This window comes from Homo sapiens, chromosome 10 (genome assembly GCF_000001405.40).
Source record: "Homo sapiens chromosome 10, GRCh38.p14 Primary Assembly".
Classification (NCBI taxonomy): domain Eukaryota; kingdom Metazoa; phylum Chordata; class Mammalia; order Primates; family Hominidae; genus Homo; species Homo sapiens.
This window is the reverse complement of record NC_000010.11, coordinates 89,031,837-89,044,401: the sequence shown is the minus strand read 5'-3', so window position 1 is coordinate 89,044,401 and position 12,565 is coordinate 89,031,837.

Sequence of the window (12,565 nt, the reverse complement as noted above, 5' to 3'; positions counted from 1 at the left end):
CACGCCACTGCACTCTAGCATGGGCGACAGAGTGAGACTCCATCTCAAAAAAAAAAAAAAGTCAAAAAATAGCAGATGTTAGTGAGGTTGTGAACACTTATAAATTGCTGGTGGGACTGTAAATTAATTCAGCCACTGTTGAAAGCAGATTGGAAATTTCTCTAAGAACAAAAACAAAACTACCATTTGACCCAGCAATCCCATTACTGAGTATATACTCAAAGTATATATCTATTCTACCAAAAAGATACATACACTCATATCTTCATTGCAGCACTATTCACAATAGCAAATATACGGACTCAATCTATATACCTATTAATGGTAGGCTGGAAAAAGAAAATGTGGCACATATACAGCCATATAATACTATGCAACCGCAGGAAAAGCAAAATCATGTTCTTACCCGAAACGTGCATGCAGCTGGAGGCCATTATCCTAAATGAATTAACACAGGAACAGAAAACCAGATACCACATGTTCTCACTTATAAGTGGAAGCTAAACATTGAGTACACATGGGCACAAAGGTGAGAACAATAAACACTGAGGCCTGCTTACAGGGAGAGGGTAGGTGGAGGATGAGGTTCAAAAAACTACCCTTTGGGTACTATGCTCACTACCCGGGTGATGAAATCATTTGTACTCCAAAGTACGGTGATACACAATTTACCCATCTAACAAACCACACAAAGACCCCCTGCATCTAAAATAAAAGTTGAAAAAAAATAAAATTTGTTTGTTTTTAAAAAGTTATGCAGAAAAGGCAAAACAAGATGGTCAAATAAAAGTCTCCAGCAATTATTTCCTTCACAGGAGCACCAAATTTAACAACTATCTACAAATAAGAACACCTTTATAAGAACCAAAAATCAGGTTAGCAATCATAGTACCTGGTTTTGACATCAAATTAAGGAAAGAGGCACTGAAGAGGAGCATAAAGGTAGTCTTGAATTGCCTATACCACCCCTCCCTGATTCCCCTACAGTGGCTGCATGGCACAGAGCCAAGTTCAATCTGCGAACTTGGGGAAGGGAGAGTATATGATTGTAGGACTTTGCATTGGAGCCCAGTGTGGACCTGTCACAGCGGAAAGCAATACCAGGCAGAACTTAGCCAGCATATACAGAGGAAGAATTTAGACCAGCCCTAGCCAGAGGCAAATCATCCATCCCAGCTATTGGAACCTGAGTTCTGTCAAGCCCTGCTACTGTGAGCTAAAATTCCCCGGGGTCATAATAAACTTAAAGACCAGCCTAGTCCACAAGGACTGCAATTCCTGGGCAAGTTCTGGTGTTGTGCTGGCTCAGAGACAGAGGACTTTTGGAACACACGACCTAGTGAGATACCAGCTGAGGTGGCCAAGGGAATGCTTGTGTTTCCCTTCCCCAGCCCCCAAAAGTGTAGCTCATAGCTATGGGAGAGATTCCTTCCCTCTGCTTGAGAAGAGAAACAAGAGAAAAGAGGACTTTGTCTTATAACTTGGATACCAACTAAGCTACAGTAGGATACGGCACCAGGCAGAGTCCAGGCCCTAGCTCCTAAGACAACGTTTACAGATGTACTTTGTGCCAGAAGGGAAGCCAGTGACTTGAAAGGAATGAGGCAATCCTGGCAGAATTCATTACCTGCTGACTAAAGAGCCCTTGGGCATTCCATAATCAGCAATGGTAGCCAGGTAGTACTTGCTACAGGCTTTGGGTAAGACTCAGAGCTGTGCTGGCTTTAGGGTGTGACCCAGCACAATCCAGTTGTGGTGGCTACAGGGAGAGGCTCCTTCTGCTTGAGGAAAGGAGAGGGAAGGGTAAAGGGGACTTTGCCTTGCAGCTTGGGTACCAGCTTAGCCACAGTGGGGTAGAGCACCAAGTGGACTCCTGAGGTCCCCAACTTTTGGCTTTGGTTCTTGGATGGCATTTCTGCAACTGCCCTGGGTGAGAGGGGAGCCCACTTCCCTAAAGAGAGTCCCAGGCCTGGCAGCATTCACCAAATAATGACTGAAGAGTCCTTGGGCCTTGAGTGAACATTGGCGGTGCCAGGCAATACTTGCCATGGGCCTGAGTGGTGGTGGCCATGGGGAGTCCTGTTTGAGGAAATGGCAGGGAAGAGTGGGGAGGGCATTGTCTTGCAGCTTAGGTGCCAGCTCAGCCAGAGTAGAATAGAGTGCCAGGTAGATTCCTAAAGTTCCTGTCTCCAGGCCTTGGCTCTTGAAAGTATCTCCAGATCCACGCAGGGCTGGGAGGAACTCACTGTCCTGAAGGGAAAGACACAAGCCTGGCTGGTCTTCCACCTGCTGATTGTAGAGCCCATGGGCCTAAAGTGAACATAGGCAATAGCCAGGCATTTGTCACTGCAGGTCTTTGATGCATCCCAGTGCTGTGCTGGCTTTGGGTGGAGTCCCAGGGATGGAGGCCACAGGGGTACTGTGTCACCCACTCCCACAGGTCCAGGCAGCTCAGCACAGAGAGAGAGAGAGAGAGAGAGAGAGAGAGAGAGAGAGAGAGAGAGAGAGAGACTCTTTATCAATGGGAAAGTAAGAGAAGAGAAGAATAATTGTTGGTAAACCAGGCAATTATCCTGAATTTTATCCCAGACCACCAAGGCAGTACATTTATGAGTCTGCAAGAGCCACAGTGTTACAGATACAGCTGCAGTGGCCAAAACAGATACAGCTGCAGTGACCAAAGATTTAGATCACAACACCCAAGTCCCTTTAAATACTTGGAAAGCCTTCCCAAGAAGGATGGGTACAAAAAAGCCCAGACTGTGAAGACTACAATAAATACCTAAGTCCCCAATGCCCAGACACCAACAAACATCCACAAGCATCAAGACCACCCAGGAAAACATAATTTCACCAAATGCATAAATAAGACCTCAAGAGCAATCCTGGAGAGACAGACATCTGTGACATTTCAGACAGAGAATTTAAAATAGCTATTTTGAAGAAGCCCAATGAACTCCAAGATAACACAGAGAAGGAATTCAGAATCCTGTCAGATAAATGTAACAAAGAGACTGACATAATTACAAAGAATCTTCATCAACACCAGACCTGTCCTACAAGAAGTGCTAGCTAAAGAGAGTTCTTCAATCTGAAAGAAAAAGACCTTAATGGGCATTAAGAACTCATCTGAAGGTATAAAACTCACTGGTAATAGTAAGTACGCAAAACACAGAATATTGTAAACTGTAATTGAAGTGTGTAAGCGACTCATATCTTGAGTAGAATACTAAAAGATGAACCTATAAAAAATAACTACAGAAACATTTCAAGAAATACACAACATAATAAGATATAAAAAGAAACAACAAAAAAGTTTAAAAATGGGGGGATGAAGTTAATGTGTGGGGTTTTTATTAGTTTTCTCTTTGTTTGTTTGTTTATGCAATCAGTGTTAAGTTCTCATCAGTTTAAAGATAGTATAAATTATAAGTAATCAGTTTAAAGATAGTATAAGTAATAAGATAGTATAAGTTATAAGATATTATTTACAAGCCTCATGGTAACCTAACATCAAAAAACATACAACAGGTACACACAAAATAAAAAGCAAGAAATTAAAACATACCAGCTGAGAAAATTGTCTTCACAAAAAAGAAGACAGGAAGGAAGGAAAGAAGGAATAGAAGACCACAAAACAACCATAAAACACATAACAAAATGCCAGGAGTAGTCCTTACCAATCAATAATAACATTGAATGTAAATGTACTCAACCCTTTAATCAAAAGACATAGTGGGTGAATAAATAAATAAGCAAGACCTAATGATCTGTTGCCTACCAGAAACACATTTTACCTATAAATACAAGCATGTCTTTTTGCATGACTATAAAATAGTTTTTGGTTTTTGGAAAAGATAAACAAAACTATAGATTAGTCATGCAAAAAGATATCCAACACAAATGAAATTCAAAAAAGAGCAGGAGTAGCTGTAGTGATATCAGACAAAATAGATGCCAAGACCAAAAGTATAAAAAGAAACAAAAAAGGTCATCATATAATGATAAAGTGGTCAATTCAGCAAGAGGACGAAACAATTTTAAATATATATTCACTCAACAGATATATAAAGCAAATATTATTAGAGCTAAAGAGAACAATAGACCTCAATACAATAGTAGCTGGAGACTTCAACACCCCACTTTTAGCATTGGACAGATCATCCAGACAGAAAATCAACAAAGTAACATAGGGCTTAATCAGCACTATATAACAAATGGACCTGATAGATATTTACAGAACATTTCATCCAATGGCTGCAGAACACACATTCTTCCTCTCAGCACATGGATCATTCTCAAGGATAGACCATATGGTAGGCCATAAAACAAGCCTTAAAACATTCAAAAACATTGGCCAAAATAAAATAAATCTAGAAATCAATAGCAAGAGGAGTTTTGGAAACTTCACAAACATGGAAATTAAACAATATGCTCCTGAATGACAAATGGGCCAATGAAGAAATTAAGAAGGAAATTTAAAAATGTCTTGAAACAAAACAAAATGGAAACAAAAAATACCAAAACCTATGGGATTCAGTAAAAGTAGTACTAAGAGGAAAGTTTATAGCAATTAGCACCTACATCAAAAAAGTAGAAAAACTTCAAATAAACAATATAACAACGCATCTTAAAGAAATAGAAAAGCAAGAGCCAACCAAACACAAAACTGGTAGAAGAAAATAAATAATGAAGGTCGGAACAGAAATAAATGAAATTGAAACAAATAAATACAAATAATCAATGAAACAAAAAGTTGGTTTTTGGAAAAGGTAAACAAAACTGAAAAACCTTTAGCCTGACTAACTAAGAAACAAAGACACCTAAATAAATAAAATCAGAGATTAAAAAGGAAACATTACAACTGATACTGCAGAAATTCAAAGGATCATTCATGGCTGCTATGAGCAACTATATTCCAATAAATTGGAAAATCTAGAGGAAATGGATAAATTCCTAGGTACACACAACCTACCAAAATTGAACCATGAGGAATCCAAAACCTGAACAGGCAGATAACAAGTAATGAGATTGAAGCCTGTAATAAAAATAAAAAAGCTAATGGCTTTACTGCTGAATTTAGCTAAACATTTAAAGGAAAACTAATGCCAATCCTACTCAGACTATTCTGAAAAATAGACTAGGATGGAATACTTTCCAACTTATCACATGAGGTCAATATGACCCTGATACCAAAACCAAAGAAAGGCACATTAAAAAAAGAAAACTATAGGCCAACATCCCTAATGAACATTGATGCAAAAGTCCTCAATAAAATACTAGGAAACCAAATTCAACAACACATTAAAATGATCATTCATTATGATCAGGTGGGATTTATTCCAGGAATGTAAGGATAATTAACATATGCAAATCAATCAATGTGATACATCATATAAACAGAGTAAAGGACAAAAATCATATGATCATTTCAATTGATGCTGAAAAGGCATTTGATAAAATTCAACATCTCTTCATGGAAAAAACCCTCAAAAAACTGAGTATAGAACAAATATATCTCAACATAATAAAAGCCATATACAACAGACTCACAACTAGTGTCATATCAAGTGGGGAAAAATTGAAAGCCTTTCCTCTAAGATCTGGAACACAACAAGGATGCCCACTTTCACCACTGTTATTCAACCTAGTACTGGAAGTCCTAGCTAGAGCAATCAGACAAGAGAAAGAAATAAAAGGCTTCCAAATTTAAAAGGAAGAAGTCAAGTTATCCTTGCTTGCAGATGATATGATCTTGTTTTTAGAAAAACCTAAGACTTCACATACACACACACAAACTATGAGAACTGAAATTCAGTCAAGTTGCAGGATATAAAATCAACATACAATAATCAGTAGTATTTCAGTATGCCATTAGCTAACAAATTGAAAAACAAAAAAGTAGTCTCATTTAGTAGCTAAAAATAAAATAAAATACCCAAGAATTAACCAAAGAAGTGAAATATCTCTACAATGATAACTAAAAAACACTGATGCAAGAAATTGAAGAGGATACCAAAAAGAGAGAGAAAAATACTCCATGTTCATGGATTAGAAGAATCAATATTGTTAAAATGTCTATACTACCCAAAGAAATAATCTACAGACTTAATGCAATCTCTATCAAAATAACCATGATATCTTCACATAAATAGAAAAATAATACTAAAATTTATATGAAACCACAAAAGACCCAGAATAGTGAAGTAATCCTGAGCAAAAAGAACAAAATGAGAGGAATCACATGATCTGACTTCACATTACACTACCGAGCTACAGTAACCTGAACAGCATGGTACTGGCATAAAAAAAAGATATATATACCAATGGAACAGAATAGATAACCCAGAAATAAATCCATGTATCTACAGTGAACTCATTTTTTACAAAGGTGCCGAGAACATGCAATGAAAAAAGGACGGTCTCTTCAATAAATGGTGCTGAGAAAACCAGCTATCCATAAGCAGGAGAATGAAACTAGAGCCATATTTCTCACCATATACAAAAACCAAATCAAAATGGATTAAAAATATAAATATAAGACCTCAAACTATGAAACTACTAAAAGAAAACATTGGGGAAACTCTATAGGATACTGGACTGGACAAAGATATCTTGAGTAATGCCCCAAAAGCACAGGCAACTAAAGCAAAAATAGACAAATGGGATCACATCAAGTTAAAAAGCATCTGCACAGCAAAGGAAACAGTCAATGAAGTGAAGAGGCAATCAAGAGAGTGGGAGAAAATGTGTGCAAACTATCCATCTGACAAATGATTAATAACCAGGATATATAATCAGCTCAAACAACTCTATAGGAAAAAATCTAATAATCCAATGAAAGAATGGGCATAAGACATAAATAGACTTTTCTCAAAATAAGACATACAAATGGTAAACAGTTATGCTCAATATCAGAGAAATGAAAATCAAAACTACAATAAGTTATCATTCACCCCAGCTAAAACTGCTTTTATCCAAAAGATAGGCAATAACGAATGATGGTGAAAACGTGGAGAAAAGGAACCCTTATACAGAGTTGGTGGGAATGTAAATTAGCACAACCACTATGAAGAACAGTTTAGAGGTTCCTCAAAAAACTAAAAAAAGAACTGCCATATGATTCAGCAATCCCATTGCTACGTATACACTCAAAAGAGAGGAAACCATTATATTGAAGGGATATCTGCACTCCATGTTAATTGCAATAGCTAAGATTTGGAAGCAACCTAAATGTTCCTTAACAGATGAATGAATAAAGAAATTTGGCACATATACATAATGGAAAACTATTCATCCATATAAAAGAATGAGATCTGCCATTTTTAAAAGCATGGATGGAACTGGAGGCCATTATGTTAACTGAAATAAGCCAGGCACAGAAAGACAAACTTTGCATGTTCTCACTTATTTGTGGTAGCTAAAAAAATGAAAACAATTGAACTCATGTAGATAGAAAGTAGAATGATGGTTACCAGAGGCTGAGAAGTGTATTGGGGGTGGGGGTGGGGGTGGGAGGGTAGAGGTGGGGCTGGTTAATGGGTACAAAACTATACTTAGAAAGAATAAATAAGATCTAGTATTTGATATCACAACAGTGTAGCTACAATCAACAATAATTTATTGTGCATTTAAAAACAACTAAAAGTATGATTTAATTTTTTGTAACACAAAGAAAGGATAAATGCTTAAAGTGATGAATACCCCATTTATTCTGATGTGATGATTTTTATGCATTGCATGCCTGTATCAAAATGTCTCATGTACCCCATAAATATATATTACTATTCTGTACCCACAATATTTTTTAAAAATTAACCATGTGTACATGCACACACACACATACAAAGTAAAGAGATAGAAGAAAAAAAGACTATAGTCCAAATTCTGTCTTTACCTATGAGCTATGTAACTAGAGCGGGTGGGGGTTTCGGGAGAAGAAGAAATATTTAACTTCTCTGAGCCTCAGTTTCATAATTTGTAAAATGGAGACATAAATACAGTTCATGGGTTTTTGTTGGAATAAGACAATGTGTCTAAAGTGTCCCGCTGTGGGCCAGTCACTTGGTAATTGTGCAGCAATATTTATTCTTCTTGGTGGTGATTTTTAACTTATTTTCAACATGGATTTTAAAAAGCTGATGAACAAAAGGCATTGCTTCCTAGACAAATTTATTTGCAAGCCAAATTTAATATATAATTTTAGAGGATTCAAAGCCCCTTGAAGACCATCTACAGGTTCCTTATTTCTGAAGGGGTTATCAATGGGAACACATTAGGGATTTAGATCTCTGTGCTGCACCTCTGAATTAAAATCTCAGGCATGAGTACAGTCCTCCACATTTTAAACATCCCTCCCACCAAGTAATCATGCACGCTCACTGCCGTATGTTAAATGACCACAGTTAAGATGACCAACCTGCCATCCTGGGTTGCAAAAGAATGCTACCAATGTGCACTCAGAATGTGTTTATATGTGCTTGGCTTGGCTTTTCCACTAGACAGCAAGCTCCCAAGTAGTGCAAACTCTCTTCAACATCTTCCTTTGCATGCACACATGGTATAGGTGCTCTGACTTGAGTGGCTTCTTCATCAAGGAGGTTCAATTCTTGGTGCTGCAGGAAAATTAGCCATGTGTGATGGCTTCTATTAGAGTCCAGCAGACGCTGACTATATTTAAGTTTGTAATGAATATTTTGCAATCTGTCCCTTGAGAAAAATGCAGTCTCTGAGATTTCCCAAGTCCCTCTGTAAGTATCAAATAGTTCCTGATTAAGTCAGTGCTACAAAGTCAAAGGCACAAAATCAGCAAAGGGTAAATCCCCTATAGATTTGAATCAACTGTGCCTTCAATAAATGCCTATGTACTTTATCTGCATAGTAAATGCCTTTGAAATATAATTCTTGTGGATGTTGTTGGGATTCAGGACATTCTGCCCCAAAATATGGCACCTCGGAACTTGAAAAAATAGCAGAAGCAGGAAGGTCACTCTCACCTTACACTGCCCTTCTCCCCTTAAGCAGGTCGTAAGACCCTCATTCAAGAGGTACCTTCCCTATACCCAGAGGAAAGAAGCATTCTTATCTTCAAAGACACAGAAATGTCAAGAGGAATCTGAACAAACAGGCTTTGCTAAGTTCTTCTCAATTACTACCGTTAGATCATACCACCGTTGTCCAATCCTACTTGCTCATGTCCATCCATCTCATCAAACCCAGCATTAAAAATAAACAAGTTTACCTGTGTCTTTGGATCTTTTTTTTTTTTTTCTTTAGGACAGAGTCTAGCTCTGTCTCTCAGACTGGAATGTAGTGCTGCAATCATAGCTCACTGCAGCCTCAAACCCCTGGGCTCAATTGATCTCCCCTCCTCTGCCTCCCCAGTGGCTGGGACAACAGGTCTTTGGATCTTCATTTCTGAAGGCTTCTGTGTCACATCAAACTTATGTTAAATAAATTCGTAATGCTTCTCTCCTGCTAATCTGTCTGTGTCAGCTCTCTCAGGGACCCTAAGAGGGTTGAGAAAAACCTTCCTCCCATATTATATAAATATATATGGAAAAAATAATCCCACATAATTCCACTGCCTGGAGATAGTCACCTTTAAGTTTTCATGATTATCCGTTCATGTCTATACAGAGATACATTTAGACATGGAAGGAAACATAGGTCATTTCCTTGGGAAGCCTCCCCCTGATCTTCCACCCACGCCCCAGTCTAAATAAGGTTTTCTTGCTATATCAGTTCATAGCATCTGTACTTTTTCTTGATATTCTTTATTAGAGTAGAAAATATTTAATTACTATATTTATTTTCTGCTGTATATTTTCATCATGAGGTAAACTCATTGTGGTAATAACATTGAGTACATTGCTATATGCGCAGCGTTTAGATGAGTGCTAGGATGTAGTTGGACAAATATTCAATACATATTTTTTCAGTTAACAAAATGTCACATTACAGGTGTGTACATATGTTTCTAAAGTCAGCGAGCTGTCGTCTCAATCATATTGCCAAATGCCATCAAGAAAGAATCACCTGGAAACAAACAAGGCCACTGTAGCTCTTGTTAGAAACCACTGGATCTTGTAAGCTGGAAACAGAATACAGAATAGGGACTTCACAACACATACACACACACACACACACACACCCCACATTTGTGAAAGACAGTATGAGGCACAGAAAGTACCTGGCTGACCTGAGCCTGGTCTGTTCACCTTAAAAAAAGCATCAGTTGAGAACTGACTCGGGGTGGGGGAAAAGCACCCACTCAGTTAACTCTAGATCTCAGGCCAGATGCCTGTTGGTGTTCAGTGAAAGTTCACTAGGCTTCCAGTGAAGGCATGACCATGATTTCCAACAAATGACACTACTCATGATATCAGGAGTCTCTCTGGAGTACAAGAATTCAGTTTGAATTGTCAGCAGCAAGAGGTGTGAATATGTACAAAGTCATCTTCTTGGAGCCTCAGTTTCTTTATCTTTAAAATGAGGGTAATAAGACCCACTGCAAAATGGAATATATATATCTGGTACACGTAAAATACAATATTCGTCCTTGAGGATGCAAAGATGACTTCAGCAAAGTCCTTGTCCTCCAGTATATATATACACATACACATATACATACATATACATACATATGTATGTATATGTGTATATATATATGTGTGTGTGTGCGTGTGTGTATGAAGTGATTTTATTATCTTGAATAATAGTATTATATTTATCCTGCATTTCAAAAAGGTAGATTAGTTTAGAAAGAAACTATTTTGTGGGTATGAAAAGCAAAACTTGATCCTTCTGTTGATACTAATTTATTTAACACCAAGTTTGTGCAAGGTGCTGTGATATATATGATGTATATGATGTCATATGATATATGATATATGATGTATATTTAGATATATGTGTATGCATGTGTGTGATATACATGATGCTTACAAATATATGAATTATATATACAGGTTAATATACAAAAGTTTATTGACTTATTTACGTACATATATATGGATTGATCTTCAAAACATCATATTGAGTGGAAATATCATGAGATATGTTAACATACAATCAACCTGGGAGGTGGAGGTTGTGGTGAGCCGAGATCGCACCACTGCACTCCAGCCTGGGCAACAAGAGCAACACTCCATCTCAAAAAAAAAAAAAAAAATGTAGGTACACAAGACAGCAATAAATAGTTCACATTACTACACACAAAGAGAAACGTGCATTTTAAATACATTAGAATGGCTACCTATTAGGAATGCCAATAGAAGTGGAGTCTGGGAATAAAATACATAAATGAAAAAATGTTTTCAAGTGTTCTTGCATGGACTGATGATAATACACCCAGACTGAAGAATAAGACAACCTCAAACCTCTCTTCACTCCCACCCTCCACAGGAAACCAGCACAGTAAACTTACCTGTTCTAACACTTGCTGTTATTGACAGTTAAGGGCGGAACATGAGGTAAGGCTGTGAGGTGATCTATCAGAGCTATTACTGATGTCGTCCATATTCTGGATCTTTATCCAAAGCTTACTGGCTCTAGGAAATAGAAGTCTGACAAGCATTATGTACATTTCATTTTCCTCATGTCACCTTCAGAAGCTGAAGAAATCTTGAAAGCCTTGGACTGCTGCCATCAGACATAACTAGCTGCCACTGCATTACCTTCCTGACTGTGCAGTAATTAAAATTTGCATCTTTACTGGATTGTTTTTAGAGTTAAGAAACGCATTTCCGTGAATGAAACTGGACACACAAGGCTACACAGAATATGATTCTATTTACATAAAATATCTGGAAGAGTTCGTCTCATTAAGACAGAAATCAGATTAGTGGTTTCCAGGGACTGAGGAGAGGGAGGGGTGGGGAGTGACTGCTTAATGGATTTTCTTTTGAGGTGAAGAAAATGTTCTGGCACTAGATGGAAGTGGCGATTGCACAACATTGTGAATGTGCTAAATGCCACGAAATTGTATACTTTAAAATGGTTAATTGTTATGTTATGTGATCTTCATCTCAATTGAAAACAAAAAGAGGAAAAGGAGAAAGGGACTTTCCGCATTCTAAGTTCTTAAGAAAGTCCTTTCTCAGTGAAAGGATGACTAAGGTGTTATGCATAGGTCAGTTGAGTGCTGAGTGGGCAGGGGGCGGGGTGGAGAAAAGGCCACAGGCACAAGTAGAATATAGGAGGATGAGGTGTAGAAAGTGCTGCAGTGGGGACCTTTCCCCATACTGATTTAGGGTCCCACTAATTCAGCAAATGCTCTTCTGCAGCTCTCCACACTGCAATTGACTCCAGCATGCATACTATACCCACTTCTCGTGAATTATCTCTTTTCCCAAAGGGGTGCCCATTCCCTGAAGGCTAGACCTTCAGCTCTTTCCTGTGGCACAACCTCCCCCAAGGCTTTATCCTATCCTGAGGCCAATCCATTCGAGCCTCTGGTGCAAGCAAAACACAATATTCGTCCTTGAGGATACAAAGATACCTTCAGCAAAATCCTTGTCCTCCAGTAGGACCAAGTCTATGTGGTCTGGATTCCCGTGATCTC